Below are 20,101 nucleotides of genomic sequence, written 5' to 3' on the forward strand. Positions count from 1 at the left end.
GTCATCAGCATATGTATGGCTATTGAAGCTCTGACAATGAACAAGATGAGCAGAAAGCCTAGGACAGAACCCCGAGGGACAGATAGAGAAGGAAGATCCTGCACAGGTGGCCAAGAAGGAGGTAGAAGGTAAATCAGGGTAATAAGTGTCATGGAAACCAAAAGGAAGATTGTGATAGGAAAAAAATGTGTGGTCAATTGTATCAGAATTAGATGAAGTAAAATGAGAAGCATCTTTATTATATTTAATGACAAAGTGTAATTATTTTAACTTTAAGCAGTAATTCAGATTATATGAGATTACTTCACAGTTTGTTTTTTTGCCAAATCAAAACATCTTTACTGTTTTAGTTATCTACTTCTATGTAACAAACCACCTTAAACTTAGTGATTTAAAAGAATAGCCAGTATAATTTTTCTCATGACTATAAGTTGACTGGAGGTTAGCTGCTTCTTCTGGTCTTACTTTGAATCTCTCGTGTAGCTGCAGTTAGCATATAGCATGTTCACCACGGCCTTACTTACATAGCGGGTGCCTTGGTGGGACAGCTGGAAGGCTGGCTCCGTTGAAACTTGGGGAAAGCACCTTCCCTCTCTCTAGTCTTTCCAACAGTGTATCCAGACTTCTTACTTGATGATTCTGCATGGAAGAAGACAACAAGGGTGTGAATATTGAGAGATGTGATTTCTTGAGGCCATTTTTGGAGACTAATTAACATATCCACCTAAAAGTAGTTGCCTTAAAGCCTAATCTAGGTTCTTTTTTTTTTTTTTGAGATGGGGTCTCTCTTGCCAGACTGGAATACAGTCACGGCTCACTGTAGCCTTGACCTTCCAGGCTCAAATGATCCCACCTCAGTCTCCCGAGTAGCTGGGAATACGGGTGTGCACAACCATGCCCAGCTAATTTTTAAATTTTTTTTAGAGATGGGGTTTCGCTGTATTGCCCAGGTTGGTCTCAAACTCATGGGCTCAAGTGATATTCCTGCCTTGGTCTCTGAAAGTTTTAGAATTACAGGCTACCACGCTCAGCTTTATCTAGATTTTTGAACTCTTTAAAAAGAAACACGTTGGCTGGGCGCGGTGGCTCACGCCTATAATCCCAACACTTTGGGAGGCTGAGGCGGGCGGATCACGAGGTCAGGAGATCGAGACCATCTTGGCTAACACGGTGAAACCCCGTCTCTACTAAAAATACAAAAAATTAGCTGGGCGTGGTGGCGGGCGCCTGTAATCCTAGCTACTCAGGAGGCTGAGGGAGGAGAATGGCATGAACCCGGGAGGCGGAGCTTGCACTGAGCGGAGATAGCTCCACTGCAGTCCGGCCTGGGCGAAAGAGCGAGACTCCATCTCAAAAATAAAAAATAAAAAAAAAAAGAAACACGTCATTTCATTGATTCTTATACACATGCACACATAGACGTGTATATGTACATACATGTACATGTACACACACATGCATAAACACATGCACACATGCTTGCACACATACATTTCTCTTTTTATTCCTAATAGGATTCTCAGTATGTAACTGTTCAGGATAAAAGATACATTTCCCAGCTGGGCATGGTGGCTCACACCAGTAATCCATGCACTTTGGGAGGGCGAGGTGGGTGGATCGCTTGAGGATCACCTGAGGTCAGGAGTTCGAGACCAGCCTGGCCAACCTGATGAAACTCCGTCTCTGCTAAAAATACAAAAAATAGCTGGGCGTGGTGGCGCGCGCCTGTAATCCCAGCTACTCAGGAGACTGAACCTGGGAGGTGGAGGTTTCAGTGAGCTGAGATCGTGCCACTGCACTCCAGTCTGGGCAACAAGAGTGAAACTCCGTCTCATAAAAGAAAAAGATACATTTCCGAGCTTTTCCTGTTGCTAGGTATGGCTCTGTGGCTTAGTTCTGGACAGTGAAATGTAAGTGCAAGAATATGGACAACTTTTGAGAGGAAAATTAATGGGAAGAGATGTATCCTCCTTTTTTTTTTTTTTCCCTGCTGTCTGGAAACCACAGCAGCCTTTTGGACCATCACCTAGACTTGTTGAATTTATGAGGGCAACAAGCTGTGGTCCTGATTGTCTTAGACATATGTCAGTCCTGACTTTATTTTGGGTTTTTGTTACAGCCAAAACTAATTCTATCAGGCTTTTGTTTTGTTGTTGTTGTTTTTGTTTTTTCATTAAAAAAATAACCAGTTTTGCTTTTCTGCAGATATCAGCAAAAAAAGTAAAAATTAGTTTTATCGAGGTATAGTTTACACACAGTAAAATGCAACCAATTTATGAGTATAGTTTGTGAAATTTTAAAAATGTAAGCATCTGAGTAATCACTACTACAATCAAGATTTAGAACATTTCCAAAAATGTTTCTTTCAAGCCACCTTGCTGTCAATCCATTTTTCCCTCCATTTACCCCTAATCCCAGGCAAATCTGTTTTATGTCACTATAGGTTAATTTAGCCCATTCTAGAATTTTATATAAATGGAAACACTGTACAAACTCTTCTGTGTTTGACTTACTTTGCACAGCATAATGCTTTTGAGACTTGCCCATCTTGTCTCATGTGTTAGTGCTTTGTTCATTTTTATTGCTAAGTAGTAGTATGTTTATGAATCTACCATAGATTATTCATCTTTTGATAGACAAATAGCTTGTTCTTGGTTTTTGGCTATTCTGTATAAAGCTACTGTGATCATTCTTGTACAGGTCTTTTTGTAGATATATGTTTTTATTTCTCTTGGAAGCAAAATTGCTAGATCATGTGGTAAGTGTATATTTATAAGAAACTAGCAAACTGTTTTTTAGAGTGATTATTACCATTTTACACTCTCACCTGCAAAATTGGAGAATTCTGCCTCCTCCATATCCTTGCCTACACTTGGTATTGTTGATAATTTTAATGTTAGCTATTCCAGTAAGTGTGTAGTGCTGTTTAATTGTGGCTTTAGTTTGCAATTGCTTGTTGACTGACATTAAACCTCTTTTCTTGTGATGAGGTGTCACTGTGTTGCCTAGGCTGGACTCAAACACCTGGGCTCAAGCAATTCCTTCTGCCTTAGGCTCCTGAGTGTCTGGGACTGCAATGTGCATCGCTGTGCCTGGCTAATGTGTGCATCATTTGTGAAGTGTCTGTTCAAATCTTTTGTCCATTTGAAAAATTAGGTTGCCTTTTTATTGAGTTTTAGAGTTTAGAGTTTATTTTGAGCTTAAATATTTTGGATAGAAGTATTTTGTCACATAAATGTATTGTAAATATCTTTGTCCAGTCTGAGTCTGCCTTTTATTTTCCTGATCATGTCTGTTGAGGATAGAAATTTTAAATTTTGATAAAATATGTCAGTTTTTTTTTCTTTTTGGTGTGTATTTTTTGTATTCTAAGAAATCTTTCCTTACCAATGATTGCAAAAATTTTTCCTATACTTTCTCATTGTTTTATAGGTTTAGTTTTTACATTTATTACCTGTTTCAAGTTAATTTTTATGTATGGTGTAAGGAAAGGATTGGAGTTCCTTTTTTATTTTTTCCAAATTGATACCCAATTGTTTGAGTATTGTTTGTTTAAAAGGTCTTCTCATTTGGATTATCTTGGCATTTTTCTTGAAAACAAATTTGTATATGTGTGGGTTAATTTCTGATTTGTTTATTTCATTGATATGCATGGCCATTCTTACTCTACTATCACAATGTCTCAGTTACTGTAGCTCAGTTACTGTCTTAGTTACTATAGCTCTATACATGAAATCATGTAGTGTACAGTTCTCTGACTTGTTTGTTTTGAAAACTGATTTGGTTACTCTGAGTCTTCAAATTTACAAATACATTTTAGAATTAGCTTGTAAATTTGTACAGAACTGCCTGCTGAGATTTTGGTTGAGATTGTATTGAATCTGTAGATTAGTTTTGAGAGCCTTACTTTCCTAACAATATTAAGTTTTCCAATCCATAAACATTATATATCTTTCCATTTATTTTAAGTTCTCCTTAATTTTTCTCAGTAACATAGTGTTAAGTGTACAGGTCTTGCACATATTTTAAAAAATTATTTCTAAGTTTTAATGTTTTTTGTTATTATCTTAAATGGCGTGAACCACTGCACCCAGCCTGTTTTAAAGTTTTATTTGTGAACTTTCCAATGTCCTAACTAATATATCTCTTAGAGGTAAACCTAGTTCCAATACACCTTTTTATAAAATATCTTTATTGGGATGTAAGGTCAGAGAAAGGGAGTGATAAGATGAAAGTAAAGTGGTCTACTAATAAGGTAGAAAACAGTGTGACTGAGTGTGATCTGAAGAGAGAACTGTTGTAGTTAAAGATTTGTATATCTTGGTTTGTGGTTTTAGAATCAAAGCAGCACTGGGTGTCAATTAATTCTAGAATTGGACATGAGGGTAAATGGCTGAATAATGGTAAAGAAAATGAAAGACTAGTGTATTGAATGCGTTTTCCACATTGATTAAAATCGCCCTGTACTAATGAAGTTTTTACTGTTGTAATTAATTAATACTTTGTGTATAGATTTTTTTCTTTTCTTTTTTTCTTTTTTTTGATACGGAGTCTCGCTCTGTTGCCCAGGCTGGAGTGCAGTGGCATGATCTCAGCTCACTGCAACCTCCGCTTCCTGGGTTTAAGCGATTCTCCCACCTCAGGCTCCCAAGTAGCTGGGATTACAAGCCTGCGCCACCACACCCAGCTAATTTTTGTATCTTTAGTAGTGACGGGGTTTCACCATGTTGGCCAGGCTGGTCTCAAACTCCTGACCTCAAGTGATCCACCTGCCTCGGCCTCCCAACTGCTGGGATTACAGATGCGAGCCACCGTGCCCAGCATGTGTATGTATACAGTTTTTTTTTCCTTCTATCGTCCAGGTTGGAGTGCAGTGGCGCAATCTTGGCTGACTGCAACCTCTGCCTCCCGGGTTCAGGCCATCCTCCTGCCTCAACCTCCTGGGTAGCTGGGACTACAGGCTTGTGCCACCATGTCTGGCTAATTTTTGTATTTTTACTAGTGATGGGGTTTCACTGTGTTGGCTAGGCTGGTCTGGAACTCCTGACCTTAGGTGATCAGGCTGCCTTGGCCTCCCAAAGCGTTGGGATTGCAGGCATGAGCCCCTGTGCCTGGCCATATATATTTAAAGTTCTGACTGTCATCGGATTGCAAGATTCATGAAGGCAGGAACCTTCTTTCTTTAAAACCAGAATATCATCAGTGCTAGGCATAGTCAGTACTCAATAAATATTTATTGAATAGTTAATTATAAGAGTGACGTCAGGGCTTTGGGTGGAGAGTAACAGAGCTATCTTTATTTCTTCACATCTTAAGTCCTTAAGATCTCTTATATAATTCCTCTTTTTTTTTCTTTTTTCCATTCCCACTGTATTATGTCAATTCAGGTCCTCTCTGGATTATTGCAAGAATATTTTAATAGGCTTCCCTGTGCTTACACTGGCATTTACCTTATACTGGTAATTTCCTAGTTCAGCCTCCACACCACAGCCTTGATGATTTTTTAATTATTAATTTTATTGTGCTAAAAACACATAACATAAAGTTTACCGTCTTAACCATTTTTAAGTGTACAATTCAGTATTGTTACATATATTCACATTATTGTACAATCAATCCCCAGAACTTTTTCATTTTGCTAACTGAAACTCTATATCCATTAAATAGCAACTCCCAGTTTCCTCCTGCCCCCAGCCCCTGGCAGCAACCATTCTGCTTTCTATCTCTATTAATCGGACTGCTCTAGCACATATAAGTGGAACCATATAGTATTTGTCTTTTTCTAACTGATGTATTTTACTTAATATAATGTCTTCAAGGTTCATCTGTGTTGTAGCATGTGTCGGAATTTTCTTTCTTTTAAGACGGAAAAATATTCTGTTTTATGTTTATGTCACGTTTTGTTGATTAATTCATCCATCAGTGGATACTTGGGTTGCTTTTCACCTCTTGGTTGTTGTGAATACTACTGTGAACGTGGATGTACAAATAGCTCTTCAAGACTCTGCTTTCAATTCTTTTGGGTATATACCCAGAATTGGAATTGCTGGATCATACAGTAATTATATTTTTAATTTTCTGAGATACTACCAAGCTGTTTTCCGTAGTAGCTATACCATTTTACATTCCTACCAACATTGCACAAGGATTCCAGTTTCTTTACCTCCTTACCAACACTTGTTATTTTCTGTTTATTTGATAGTAAAAGTTTTTTGATCCTAGTGTGAAGTGATATTTCATTGTGCTTTTAATTTGCATTTCCTTAATTATTAGTGATGCTGAGCATCTTTTCATGTGCTTATTGGCCATTTGTTTACCTTCTTTGGAGAAATGCCTGTTCAAGTCTTTTGCTCATTTTATTTTTATCTTTGAGACGTAGTCTCGCTCTGTGGCCCAGGCTGGAGTGCAGTGGCGTGATCTCGGCTCACTGCAACCTCCGCCTCCTGAGTTCAAGCGATTCTCCTGCCTCAGCCTCCTGAGTAGCTGGGACTACAGGCGTGTGCCACCACGCCCGGCTAATTTTTGTATTTTTTTTTTTTTTACTAGAGATGGGGTTTCGCCGTGTTAGCCAGGATGGTCTCGATCTCCTGACCTTGTGATCCGCCCACCTCAGCCTCCCAAAGTGCTGGGATTACAGGCATGAGCCACCGCGCCCGGCCTTTGAGCCACCGCGCCCGGCCTTTCTGGCTAACTTTTTGTATTTTAGTAGAGACGGGATTTTGCCATGTTGGCCAGGGTGGTCTTGATCTCCTGACCTTCCTCGTGATCTGCCTGCCTTGGCCTCCGAAAGTGCTGGGATTATAGGCGTGAGCCACCGCACCCGGCCTTTTGCTCATTTTAAAATGAGGTGGTTTGTTTTTTTCTGTTGTTGAGCTGTAGAAATTAAAAAACATATATAATCTGGATTTTAATCCCTTATATATAAGATTTGCGCAAATTTTCTCCCATTTCTCTGTAGATTGTCTTTTTACTGTATTGATTATCTCTTTTGATGCCCAGAACACCTTGGCGATATTTTAAAATCTCAGATTTTTTTTTGTTGTTGTTGAACAGAGTCTCAGTCACCTGGGCTGGAGTACAGTGGCACGATCTTGGCTCATTGCAACCCTCACCTCCTAGGTTCAAGCAATTCATGTGCCTCAGCCTCCCAAGTAGTTAGAATTACAGGTGTGTGCTACCACGCCTGGCTAATTTTTGTATTTTTAGTAGAGATGGGGTTTCACCATGTTGGTCAGGCTGGTCTCAAACTCCTGGCCTCAAGTGATCCGCCTACCTTGGCCTTACAAAGTACTGGGATTACAGGCATGAGCCACCGTGCCTGGCCTAAAATCTCAGACTTTATCAAATTACTTTCTATGACTCAGAGCTTAAACTTCTGTTTTTTGGAATTGTATACAGCCTGATTTGGAACTCTCTCTCTGGCTTTTATGTATACAGTTGGCCCTTTGAGAGGAATTGGCTCCAGGACTCTCCTGCTGATCCCCAAATGCAAGGATGCTGAAGTCCCTTATATAAAAATGGCATAGTGCTGTATATGTATAACACATACACCCTTGCTCTATTTTCTGCCTAGCAATTCAAACTCTAGTAAGGGAAAAATACTTGAAGTTCAGAAAGTGTCAAGATTTATATTATTCTCTCCTGGATGTTCATCATATTCATCTAGATAACCTCTATTTTTTGAAAGATACCAGAAATCTCTTTTCTAACCACCTACTTTCTTAGGCAGAATGGAATTGAGCACTGAACCCTGTGTATACTTCTGTTACAGCAACTGAAACATTTTCATTTGCCCATTTGTTTACCTGTCTTATTTTGCTTTTCTGGACTGACAGTTCTGTGTAAGCAGAGTCTTTGTTAATAGTTCTTTTATCATTAATCTAACCCAGTGTGTGGTATGTAATTAAATAATAAATGTTTCTTAAGTGAATGTTTAGTGAGTAAATGAAGGTATTAGTTCATTCTCACACTGCTATGAAGAAATACACAAGACTGGATAATTTGTAAAGGAAAGAGGTTTAATTGACTCACAGTTTCACACTTCTGGGGAGGCCTCAGGACACTTACAATCACGGCAGAAGGCAAAGGAGAAACACCTTCTTCATAGGGTGGCAAGACAGAGTGCGACATGCAAGCAGGGGAAATGTCAAATGCTTATAAAAAACCATCAGATCTTCTGAGACTCACTCTCAGGAGAACAGCATGGGGAAACTGCCCCCATGATCCAGTTACCTCCACCTGGTCCTGGGAATGTGGGGATTACAATTCAAGATGAGATTTTGGGTGGGGTCACAGCCGAACCATATCAATGAAGAAATGAATTAATGTTAAGTTAGTGTTATTAGATCTCCATAGTTTCACTAGAATAGACTTTAATTCTGGTTGCCTGCACTGGTAGCTGTACTTCAGTGATTTCTGCGAGAAAATAGCGCTCATTTTCAAGCTTCTTTTTGGCAGTCCTTACTGTCTTCCCCCAGCACCCAGCAACTTTGTAGCAGATCTTTGTTATTGGGTAGAGGTTTAATTATGGCTTATAGTTGTATGTGACCTTAGCCTAGAAGGGTTGTTTCTGATTTGTAAGTCATTTGAAATTTCTGTAAGGATGTTCATCAGATAGAATTGCTCATATTATTTTAGATATATTTACCATCATTGTTGTTATTGGGTGTAGACCACAGAGCCTGGGAAATAATCCTTTGGTTGGTTTTCAAAATTAAGCCAAAACAAAAAATGGTATATTTTCCTCTCTTCCATTGGGACTGTAGCTCTTGTTATGAATTCTGGTAATAAATTACTTCATCGAAGTCAAATAGTTTATGATGTTCCTTGGCAGGAAAATCTTGAAAATATTTTACTGTTATAGCAAATTTCACACTAAGCTATATTTCAAAAAGTCATTAGTAAAAGTTCTGGAAAAAGAACAGTCACCATCAAGTGATATGCTACCAAAAGATGGATTGCTACTATTTTAGATGATTTAGCTGTGCCAATTATATGGGATTTTTATGAGTTATGCCATGCATGACTTCCAGTAAAACTTTGATTTTAAATGTAAACATTTATTTAAATGGTTAATTCACTCCTAATATAAATACTAAGTTGTGTGTCCTTGTAAATTTTTTTAAGTGTTAGAAATTGTCTATATATAGGCACATTCTGCATTGAAATAAATGAAATAATTTTCATCCTATCTTTTTGGTGACAGTATTTCTATTTGCTGAGTGATGAAAAAGTAGTTATGAAATGAGGTACAAACTATGATAGACTCTTCTGTAAGTAGAACATTTCAAGTATTATCTTGGTTCTTGCAAGAATATTTAGCACTTACAAATGAGTTTTCATTATGTTCAAATGTGGTCAGCTGCAAAGAGAGTAGTGACTCAGATTATTCAGTGTAGGAATAGTCCAGAATTTGACCTTTAAATTGTTTTGGAATTTGTGTTTGAATATTGATATCTCTGAAAGAGGTATGTGCAGCACTTTCCACAGTATAGTAAACAAAACAGTAATGTCTTTGTCTTGAAAAAAACTGCAATTCCCCAACTGTTTCTTTACAGTCTAAAACAAAACTACCTTTATTTCTGTATTGTTGCAATCTTCAATCTGCTTTTAGTCTGGGATATAATAATTTGGTCTTAAAAGGTTTTCAGCTTTTGAAAATCTTAGTTATCTCTTGCCTCTCACTTACCAGGCTGGCCTGATGTGATAGCACCTGCTTTTCTTTATGGACATGATCATTACTCTAAAATTTGAGAGTTAATTAAAAATTACAATCTAGTGTGATGAACAAGGTAGACAGTGGGCCATTTATTCATTTCTAAAACCTCTCTGTGTGTGTATGTATGTCTGCCATATACCAGCTTTTTGGTGCATAGGGGATCCAGAGATGATAAATAGATATAGTCTTTGAGAAGCTTATATTTTGCAGTTTGATAAGGGGGTGGTGGTGGGGGAGATAGGTAAAAAATTACAATGTATTATCGTAAGTTCTGTGACTGAGATAAGGAAATGCCATAGAAATGCATAAGAGGGTCATTTAACCCAGTGTTTGAAATGTTGAGAAGTGCTTTGAGCAGCTGGTCACATCTGAATTGAGTTTTGAGGGATGAATAAAAATTAGCCAGGTAAAGAGGAAAAGAAGCCTGGAAAAACACTCTAAGATGATGTGGCCAATATAGGAGGTAAGCCTTGGAATACATAGTGGCTATCATTTATTGAGCTCTACCATGTGCCAAACTCTGTTAGGAGTTTGAAACCACTTACTTCACTGTAACCTGTGGGGCAGGTGCTATTATTCATAGTTTGCAAATGAAACTGAGAGTCATAACTTTGCTGAAGTCATCACATGGTTAATTAATGGCATTGCTAGTTTAAAAAACTCTAGCATTTCTGGCTTTTTCTGTAGGCTATTTCCTCCCAGCAAAGGACAGTTTCAAGATGGAGGAGATAAATAGTTACCATGCTGTTGAAAGTTCGTGTATGTAGATTAAGTTCTGTAAAGTGTGCAGAGGGATTTATAGTGACTTGTTTGTTCATTTAGAACTATTTACTGAGAGCCTCTTATGTGCCAAGAACTGTGCTAAGAATTAGGAATAAAATGATAAATGCCAAAATTGAGGTAGGGGGTGAAAGAAAGTGGGGACACTGAGGGAAGCCATAGTTTGAAAAAGCGGGATTGCAGAAGAAAAGATAACGATTGAGCAATAAATTTTAGGGGAAGTCAGTAGTCTTTTAGTTTTTGTTTTTTTACTATGGTAAGTATTAATACTTTGTTTATATGCTGAAGAGAAAGAGCCATAGCAGGGGAAAGATTGAAGATAGAAAAAGCTGTTAGGTCACATGTTTAATTAAGTAGATTGTGAGATGATTCTTGAATTTGTAATAGACATATAATATTAGTAGGATTAGCCTGCTCTTGAGTAATGAGACTTGAATAAACAATGAAACCTCTGATTTAAATGATCACTGTAACCTCTTATGTCTGATTTATGCATTCCTCTTTACTGTCCCTCAGTTGTTCTGCCCATACTCCTGTCTATGATAGCATTCATTATACTGAAGTAGAGCCATTGATATCTCCCTGTTAGACCATATGCTTCTTGTGTGGGAGGGATGAGAAGAGACCGTGTCTGCTGCCACCTAACAACTGGTACAATCCCACTTCAGTAAATGCTTATTGAACCAATGAATCAGTGAATGATTTGGAGTTTCTTATTTTTACCATTTTTGAACAATTTTCTTTTTAACTTTGAAGGGTTAAAAGGTATATAGTTACCCTGTGAAGGTTTTGTTGTTTGTTAGAAATTAAGTACTTAACACTTTAAGGTATGCCCCAGAATAGATAGAGAACTTAAAAAATTTTTGATGTTGAAAGGACCTTGTTGGTTATTTTTTAGGAAAATCTGTAATTATTATTTTATACATAGGTTACAATATGCTTAAAAATAATTTTTGATATTAAAGTATGGTAAGCAGATATATCAACCTTTTCGCTCCTCTTGATAAACTGTGATTTAAAGGAAAAATAAATTTCTAGTTTTTCTTTATGAATTATACTATTAACAGCTACTGATTTATTTTTACATTTGGATTAAATTAAAATTTCAATTTATGTTGACAATAAGAGATAATTTTATAGAACCTAATGAGTTTCTTAGGTTTATCCTTTTAGAGATTTAAAATCAGTTTATCATCAGAGACCCATTGTAGTGTATCTAGAAGTGTAGAAAAAAGATACTCTCACACTTTTTTGCTGTTTTTTTAAGCTTTGTGTTTAAAAACCAATGATGCAATTTTAAAAAATTGTATTTCCTGTGAAATGTGTTGTGTAGTTCCCCACAAATATGTTATTTTACCATTAATGTCATGGGGTTTTCTTGTTTCAGAATCCTGTTCACAAGATTCCTGACTCGCATGAGATAACGCTGAAGCATGGCACTAAAACAGTAAGTTTAAAAATCTAGTTTTTTCCTCTCTCAAATTACAGGGCTGTCATGGAAAAGTGAACTGATAAGATACATTTGTATTAAGGCTAATTATACAATCAACTGATGACATAAAAGCTATAGACATTAAGGAAAAATAGATTACTTTTATGTTCAGTCAAAATAGCCATTTCCTTTTAGTTAAAATAGGAACAATTATTGTCACTGTTATTGTTGGCTTTAAAAATCTCTTATTTTTTAATATAGGAACATTATAAGTGGAAGAAAGAAATGAAACTCAAACACAATTTTGCTTTTTATGGTGTGGGAAAATTTCTTACTACCTTTAGCTTTACTTCTGTATCAGTAAAAGGCATGAATTTGTTCATTTTTCAGATGAATGTTGAGATAAGAAATGAACTTTAAGTAGTTACTGTATGGCTCTAAGTATTTATTAATACTTAGTTTACAGATTGCATGTTTATATTGTTATATTTACTTATGTTTGAGTAATCTAAAATATTTAAAGATGAATAATATAGAATATTTGAGATGTAAGGTGAAATCATTGTATCTTATTGCAAAGCCACTAAAAAGTAGTAGTTAAATGAGTGAAACATTCATATGAAATGAAAAAAATTATCTTTCCCTTTTCAGTGAAACTACTTTTTTCTAATTGACATGTAAAGAAGTAAGAAAATACATCCCATAATAAGAGGGAAATATCAATCAATAGAGGTAGACCCAGAAATGATATAAACAGGGTCATTCTTACAGTTTTTCTTTTGAAAATATTGTTTTCATAAAAATATTTATGTTAAATATAGTGGGTTTATTGTTATTTTAAATGAAATGGAAAAGATGTAAAAATCTCTTAGTTTTAATTTCTAGTGGAAATAGTGATACATATAACTCACATAAACAAAACCTCTTTGGAGTCCTCATTCGTTTTTTTTTTTGTTTTGTTTTGTTTTTGAGACAGAGTCTCACTCTGTCACCTAGGCTGGAGTGCAGTGGTGTGATCTCGGCTCACTGCAAGCTCCAACTCCCGGGTTCATGCCATTCTCCTGCCTCAGCCTCCTGAGTAGCTGGGACTACAGGTGCCCGCCACCACACCTGGCTAATTTTTTTGTATTTTTGGTAGAGATGGGCTTTCACCGTGTTAGCCAGGATGGTCTCGATCTGCTGACCTCATGATCTTCCTGCCTCGGCCTCCCAAAGTGCTGGGATTACAGGTGTGAGCCACCGTTCCCGGCTTGGAGTCCTCAGTAGACTTTAAGAGTGTAAAGAGTCTTGAAATGAAACTATGTGGGAATTGCTGCCCTAAGACATCATTTCCATCTAATTCTTAATATATTTATTTTTTCTTAAATCAGGTTTTTTATATTTTTGTTCTGAAATTATGATGGAATTCTACTTTTTGTGTTTTTAAGTAAATAAGGAAAAATTGTAGACTGAGTATTTAAAAGGAAGCTTTTCTGTCATCTAGTCTGGAGAATTTTACAACTGAGAGATGGGTCATGAGTTTCACAAGTTTGATTTAAATATTCCTTTTTTCGTAAATCAAGTTTTATCTTATAGAGAAACATAACTTAAAAAATACTCCAGTATGTTTTACACATTGAAAATCAATTAGAGTGTCTAATTATACTCTTGGCTTAACTCTTTTTTTTTTTTTTTTTGCAATCCTGCCTTTGTTCTACATGCAAATAAATTTATTTTTAAATAAATGTTGGATTAGAAGGTGACTTTTCTCTCTGATCTTTTTTTCTTTTAAATGAGTTATTTTAAAAAGGTCCATAAGGCCAATCTTATTTCTTTCCTATATACTTTACATTTTAGTCCCCCCGTCCCCACCTTACAGGATTATTTAAAAGCAAATACCTGACTTCATATGATTTCATCTGTGAATATTTCAGTATGAACCTCTAAGAGATAATATTGGGCTGTTTCTGAATGTGCACACGTACACTCTTTCTGAATGTGCACACATACACTCTTTCCTACATAATACCATCTTTATATATCTATTTTTTCAATAATTATTTAATCTAATATCTCATTAGTGTTCAAATTTCCCCAGTTTTCTCATACATCTTTTTAGAGTCAGTTTGTTCAAATCAGTCTCTTAATGATGTCTGATGTACTCTTAGGAGAATTATCATCATGTTTATTTTTTATATCTCTATAAGATTTTGTGCTTTTTCTCCTTTTAGTGAATATTTAGTGAATATACTTACTATGGCATAATAGTCAACTGAACCCTTCCCACTGAATGTGATGATAAAGTCTAAAGCTTTTTGAAAGGAGGAGAGGGTGATACACATTAATTCTTTTAATATAAATGTTAAAACTGAAAATTTGTGCTCATTCTCAAGTTGGAACAAGACACTTTTTTTTTTTGAGACAAAGTCTTGCTCTGTCACTCAGGCTGGAGTGCAGTGGTGCCATCTCAGCTCACTGCAGCCTCCACCTCCCAGGGGTAAGCGATTCTCCTGCCTCAGCCTCCCGAGTAGCTGGGATTACTGGCGCTCGCCACAACACCGGGTAATTTTTGTATTTTTAGTAGAGATGGGGTTTTGCCATGTTGGCCAGGCCGGTCTTGAACTCCTGACCTCAGGTGATCCGCCTACCTCGGCCTCCCAAAGTGCTGGGATTACAGGCGTGAGCCACTGCGCCCAGCCTCCGAGCTCTGTTTTCTATTTTTCTAATTACCTCCTTCATATCGTTTTGGTAAATGATGAATCATATATACAGTCAGCAACAGAGATCCTGATACTTCAGTGAATGGTAGCATTGAAAGCCTCATTTTGTAATTTTGCTTTTTAATTTGTCATCTTTCTTCTTAGGAGAACAGTCAAGTTTGCAATTTATTCTGTTCTTCCTTGATAAAAAGGAATTTGTCTCATATTTGTCAGACTGCATGTTTGTTTTACATAAGATTTAACAATTTTTAGTTCTCCTTTCTTTTAAACAAATATTTAGTAGAGTTTGTATTTTGTGCCATGTTCAGTGCTGGGCACAGACAAGGTCTCTGTCCATATGGTGCTTATACTCTTGAGGGAAGGACAGATACAGAATAGAGGAACCACAAATGGAGTTGTAATTTTATATTGTGTTGTAGTGAGATGAACACTGGTGGGGTTAGCCTTATTAGGAGGAGAAATAACTTTTAAATTGTAACAGGAGGGAAGAAGGATAGCATAATGAACGTAGAGGCAAGTGAGTTTGTAGGTGGTGGTAGCAGAAGTCACTTCTAGATTTTTAAAACTACTATTCATTTATTTTTGTTTTTGATTGTTTTTTAAGACATTATTGTTCGGGCATAAAAAATGACTTTGTTTTCACTTGTATATTTTCCTTGACATCTTTAGAGTTCATGTCTAATTTTAACATAAGTATTATTATTTATGTATGATTCCCTTATATTATGAAATCGGTATTTGCAAGTGCTAATTGAAATGAATATGTTACTTTGTCAGTATCTGACTAATTATAATTATATTAATTACATTTCAAGTCTATTTATTAGGAGAACTGATTTATAGAAACTTCCTTTATGTAAAACGTTGACTCTGGCCAGGTGCCGTGGCTCACACTTCTAATCCCAGCTTTGCGAGTCTGAGGCGGGCAAATCACCTGAGATCAGGAGTTTGAGACCAGCCTGGTCAACAAGTGAAACCCCTTCTCTACTAAAAAATACAAAAATAAGCTGGGCGTGGTGCTACGTGCCTGTCATCCCAGCTACTTAGGAGGCTGAGGCAGGAGAATCGCTTGATCCCAGCAGGCAGAAGTTGCAGTGAGCCGAGATTACACCACTGCACTCCAGCCTGGATGACAGAGTGAGACTCTGTCTCAAAAAAAACAAAACAAAAAAACCTTTGATTCTTTTACTGTGTCCAATGTATAGTAATCGCATTAAATATTCCTAATGCAGTTCTTTTCTTCTTAGAGGGCAGTAGATCTAGGGACTCTCTGCTTTGAGAGAAAGCTACATATAGCTTAGGAACAATGAGTTACACATTGGATATTGACGTGTGAATTGGACCTAGGAAAGTTCACAGGGAAAGCAATTTTTTTTTTTTTTTTTTTTTTTGAGACAGGGTTTCACCTTGTTGCCCAGTTGGAGTGCAGAGCCGCAATCTCAGCTCATTGCAACCTCTGCCTCCCGAGTTCAAGCAATTCTCCTGCCTCAGCCTCTCAAATAGCTGGGATTACAGGCATGCGCCACCATGCCTGGCTAATTTTGTATTTTTAGTAGAGATGGGGTTTCTCCATGTTGGTCAGGCTGATCTCAAACTCCCAACCTCAGGTGATCCGCCCGCCTTAGCCTCCCAAAGCGCTGGGATTACAGGCATGAGCTATGGTGCCTGGCCTGCAAATTTTTTTTTTTTTTAAGACAGAGTCTCGCTCTGTCACCCAGGGTGGAATGCAGTGGCACGATCTTGGCTCATTGCAACCTCCGCCTCCCAAGTTCAAGCAATTTTTGTGCCTCAGCATTACAGGTGCATGCCTCCACGCCCAGTTAATTTTTGTATTTTTAGTAAAGATGGGGTTTCTCCATGTTGGCCAGGCTGGTCTCAAACTCCTGACCTCAAGTGATCTCCCTGCCTTGGCCTCCCGAAGTGCTGGGATTACAGGCATGAGCCACTGTGGCCGGCCGAAAGCAAATATTTTATGGAACCAATATAAGTACTATTATAATGTGATTAGTCACTTAAAAATTCAGCTTTAAAAATAATTGTTTAAGGTGAATATACCGAGCCATTTGACCATAAGGGACAGATAATTCTGCTTTGTTCTACTTTGTTAAATAGATTTCTTAAAGCTCCCTTGGTGTTACTCATTTTGGTAATTTCAGATTCATATGGTTTTCATTCAGTTATGATTATCTTAAAAGTTTTCCTCAGATTGTATGTTGAAAATGCTGAATTATTGTAATTATTTGTAAGATTTTTACTTGTACACTAAAGCAACTTAGTTTATCTTATGGAATTGCAGTGATAGCTATTCTGAATACATGGTTGATGATTTGGGACAAAATTGTCAAATAGATTTAAAGTATTTTTCTTTATTGCAAAAGAATTAATATAGTAACAAAGTCTAATAATATGGAAGGCAACCATCCATTCCTGCTTTTCAGAAGTAACAATAGTTGGTGGTTTGTACTTCCAAGTCCTATAACATAGGGGGTGGGATTAAAGAACAGAAATGGGAGGTTATAATTGACCATATGTCATTTTGCTCCGGTCATTTTATTTTATTTTTTTAAAACCAGGTGTCTGCTTTGGGTCTGGATCCCTCAGGTGCCCGTTTGGTGACAGGAGGATATGACTATGATGTTAAGTTTTGGGATTTTGCTGGAATGGATGCTTCTTTTAAGGCATTTCGATCCCTTCAGCCCTGTGAGTGGTATGTATTCACTTACTTAATATCTTCATATTTGACCTAATGTCTTCACATTGGAAGACAGTGCTGTTGGCTTTGGAATCCCATCTACAATGATTTGTATCAAAATACATTACGTTTATATGACTGTATACGGCCTTCATAATTTAAATGAAGTAAAACGAGCCTTACATTTCTTTTGTTTCATAAACTTATATTTTAGGCTGGGCGCGGTGGCTCACACTTGTAATTCCAGAACTTTAGAAAGCCGAGGCAGGCGGATCACCTGAGGCCTGGAGTTTGAGACCAGAATGGACAACATGGCAAAAGCCCGTCTCTACTAAAATTACAAAAATTAGCTGGGCGTGGTGGCGCATGCCTGTAATCCAGCTACTCGGGAGGCTGAGGCAGGAGAATTGCTCTAGCCTGAGGGGTGGAGGTTGCAGTGAGCTGAGATTGTGCCACTGCACTCCAGCCCAGCAACAGAGAGAGACTCCATCTCAAAAAAAATTACAAAAGGCTAGGCACAGTGGCGCATGCCTGTAGTCCCAGCACTTTGGGAGGCCAAGGTGGGTGGATCACCTGAGGTCAGGAGTTCGAGACCAGCCTGTCTAACATGGTGAAACTCTATCTCTACTAAAAATATAAAAACAAGCCAGGCGTGGTGGCTCATGCCTGTAATCCCAGCTACTTCGGAGGCTGAGGCAGGAGAATTGCTTGAACCCGGGAGGTGGAGGCTGCAGTGAGCCAGGATTGCGCCACTGCACTCCATCCTGGGTGACAGAGCAAGACTCCATCTCAAAACAAAAAAATTAAAAAAAAAACAAAACTTTGTTTTAAAACATTCCAATTAATTCTGAGAAATGAGAAATTAACATATGTTAAGCCATTAACCAGGTACCAATCTATTTTGTACTGTTTAGGTATGGTCGGCTAGCATTATGTTAGAAAGGGCCTTCCATGTTGCTACAATGAGCCAGCCTTTCTCTTTTTTTTTTTTTTTTTTTTGAGACAGGGTCTGGCTCTGTTGCCCAGGCTGGAGTGCAGTGGCGAGATCTTGGCTCACTGCAACCTCTGCTTCTTGGGCTCAAGACATCCTCCCACCTCAGCCTCCCAAATAGCTGGGACTATATGGGTGTGCACCACCATGCCTGGCTAATTTTTGTATTTTTTTGGTAGAGATGGGGTTTCACCCAGTAGTCCAGGGTGGTCTCAAACTCCTGATCTCAAGTAATCCACCTGCCTCGTCTTCCCAAAGTGCTGGGATTACAGGCATGAGCCACCGCGCCTGGCCCATAAGACACTCTCTTTTCTGTTTTTGACCATATCTGATCTTCTGGCATATTGCTTTCTTATGGTATCATTTAACTCAACGGTCCCCAATCTTTTTTGCACCAGTGCCTGGTTTTGTGGAAGACAATTTTTCCATGGACTAGGGGTAGCGTGGAGGTCGGGGTGGTGGGATGGTTTCTGGATGAAACTGTTCTATCTCAGATCATCAGGCATTAGATTCTAATATGGATTGTGCAACCTAGAGATCCCTCACATGCGCATTTCACAATAGGGTTTGTACTCCTATGAGAATCGAATGCTATTGTTGATCTGACAGGAGCCGGAGCTCAGGTGGTAACGCTTGCTCACCCTCCCAACGCCTGCCGTGCACCTGGTTCCTAACAGGCCATAGACTGATACCAGTCCATGTCCTGGGCTTTGGGGACTCCTGACTTAACTTGTTTCTTTATCTCCTCTCCAATATTTCCTGTGGAATATCAAAGGCTTTATCATAATTATATTGTATCACTTCAGATGGCATGTATTGTCTAGCTGTTTCACTGTTAGTGACTAGAAATTAAGGTAAATCCCTGGATTAAGGTAGTGACATCTGATTCCTTCATTGTAAAGTTAATATTTTATACTTGAGATAGGCAAGAACTTCGTAGAGAGATAGTTTGGTATATGTAACTGTCCAGATACTCATCATTCTTTCACTTAATGAGCTCAGTGTCCATTGATGATTTCTTCCTGAATCGGTTATGTCACCGAGAGCTACAAATTGGTGATTTTCCTATTCTGTTATTTCATCTGCATTTATTTCCTGGCATCTTCTTAAAGAAAAACTTTTCCATTGATGTTCATTAGGGATATTGGTCTAAAATTCTCTTTTTTTGTTGTGTCTCTGCCAAAATCCTCAATAAAATACTGGCAAACCGAATCCAGCAGCACATCAAAAAGCTTATCCACCATGATCAAGTGGGCTTCATCCCTGGGATGCAAAGCTGGCTCAACATACGCAAATCAATAAATGTAGTCCAGCATATAAACAGAACCAAAGACAAAAACCACTTGATTATCTCAGTAGATGCAGAAAAGGCCTTTGACAAAATTCAACAGCCCTTCATGCTAAAAACTCTCAATAAATTAGGTATTGATGGGACATATCTCAAAATAATAAGAGCTATTTATGAGAAACCCACAGCCAATATAATACTGAATGGGCAATAACTGGAAGCATTCCCTTTGAAAACTGGCACAAGACAGGGATGCCCTCTCTCACCACTCCTATTCAACATAGTGTCGGAAGTTCTGGCCAGGCAATCAGGCAGGAGAAAGAAATAAAGGGTATTCAGTTAGAAAAAGAGGAATTGAAATTGTCCCTGTGTGCAGATGACATGGTTGTATATTTAGAAAACCCCATCGTCTCAGCCCCAAAACTCTTTAAGCTGATAAGCAACTTCAGCAAAGTCTCAGGATACAAAATCAATGTGCAAAAATCACAAGCATTCTTATAC

General features: G+C 37.8%; 1 protein-coding gene across 4 annotated transcripts in view, besides 3 other annotated features; it reads left to right on the forward strand.

Annotated features, from left to right (window-relative positions):
- Window positions 1–20,101, forward strand: part of WDR70 (WD repeat domain 70) — a 374,118-nt gene that overhangs the window by 46,719 nt on the left and 307,298 nt on the right. For all 4 annotated transcript variants that reach the window (NM_018034.4, NM_001345998.2, NM_001345999.2 and 1 more), the window contains 2 exons: window positions 11,886–11,945; window positions 17,203–17,336. In NM_018034.4, the coding sequence (NP_060504.1) occupies window positions 11,886–11,945; window positions 17,203–17,336 (194 nt within the window). The remainder of the gene's footprint in view (window positions 1–11,885; window positions 11,946–17,202; window positions 17,337–20,101) is intronic.
- Window positions 6,597–7,099: an enhancer, noted in NCBI's record as "H3K27ac-H3K4me1 hESC enhancer chr5:37432735-37433237 (GRCh37/hg19 assembly coordinates)". NCBI's record gives its function as "activates a minimal SCP1, AML or CMV promoter by ChIP-STARR-seq in primed H9 embryonic stem cells {active_cell/tissue: H9 hESC(primed)}" and the evidence as "EXISTENCE:reporter gene assay evidence [ECO:0000049][PMID:30033119]".
- Window positions 19,893–19,942: an enhancer, noted in NCBI's record as "active region_22488". NCBI's record gives its function as "activates an Ori minimal core promoter by ATAC-STARR-seq in GM12878 lymphoblastoid cells {active_cell/tissue: GM12878}" and the evidence as "EXISTENCE:reporter gene assay evidence [ECO:0000049][PMID:35858748]".
- Window positions 19,983–20,072: an enhancer, noted in NCBI's record as "active region_22489". NCBI's record gives its function as "activates an Ori minimal core promoter by ATAC-STARR-seq in GM12878 lymphoblastoid cells {active_cell/tissue: GM12878}" and the evidence as "EXISTENCE:reporter gene assay evidence [ECO:0000049][PMID:35858748]".

This window comes from Homo sapiens, chromosome 5 (genome assembly GCF_000001405.40).
Source record: "Homo sapiens chromosome 5, GRCh38.p14 Primary Assembly".
NCBI lineage: Eukaryota > Metazoa > Chordata > Mammalia > Primates > Hominidae > Homo > Homo sapiens.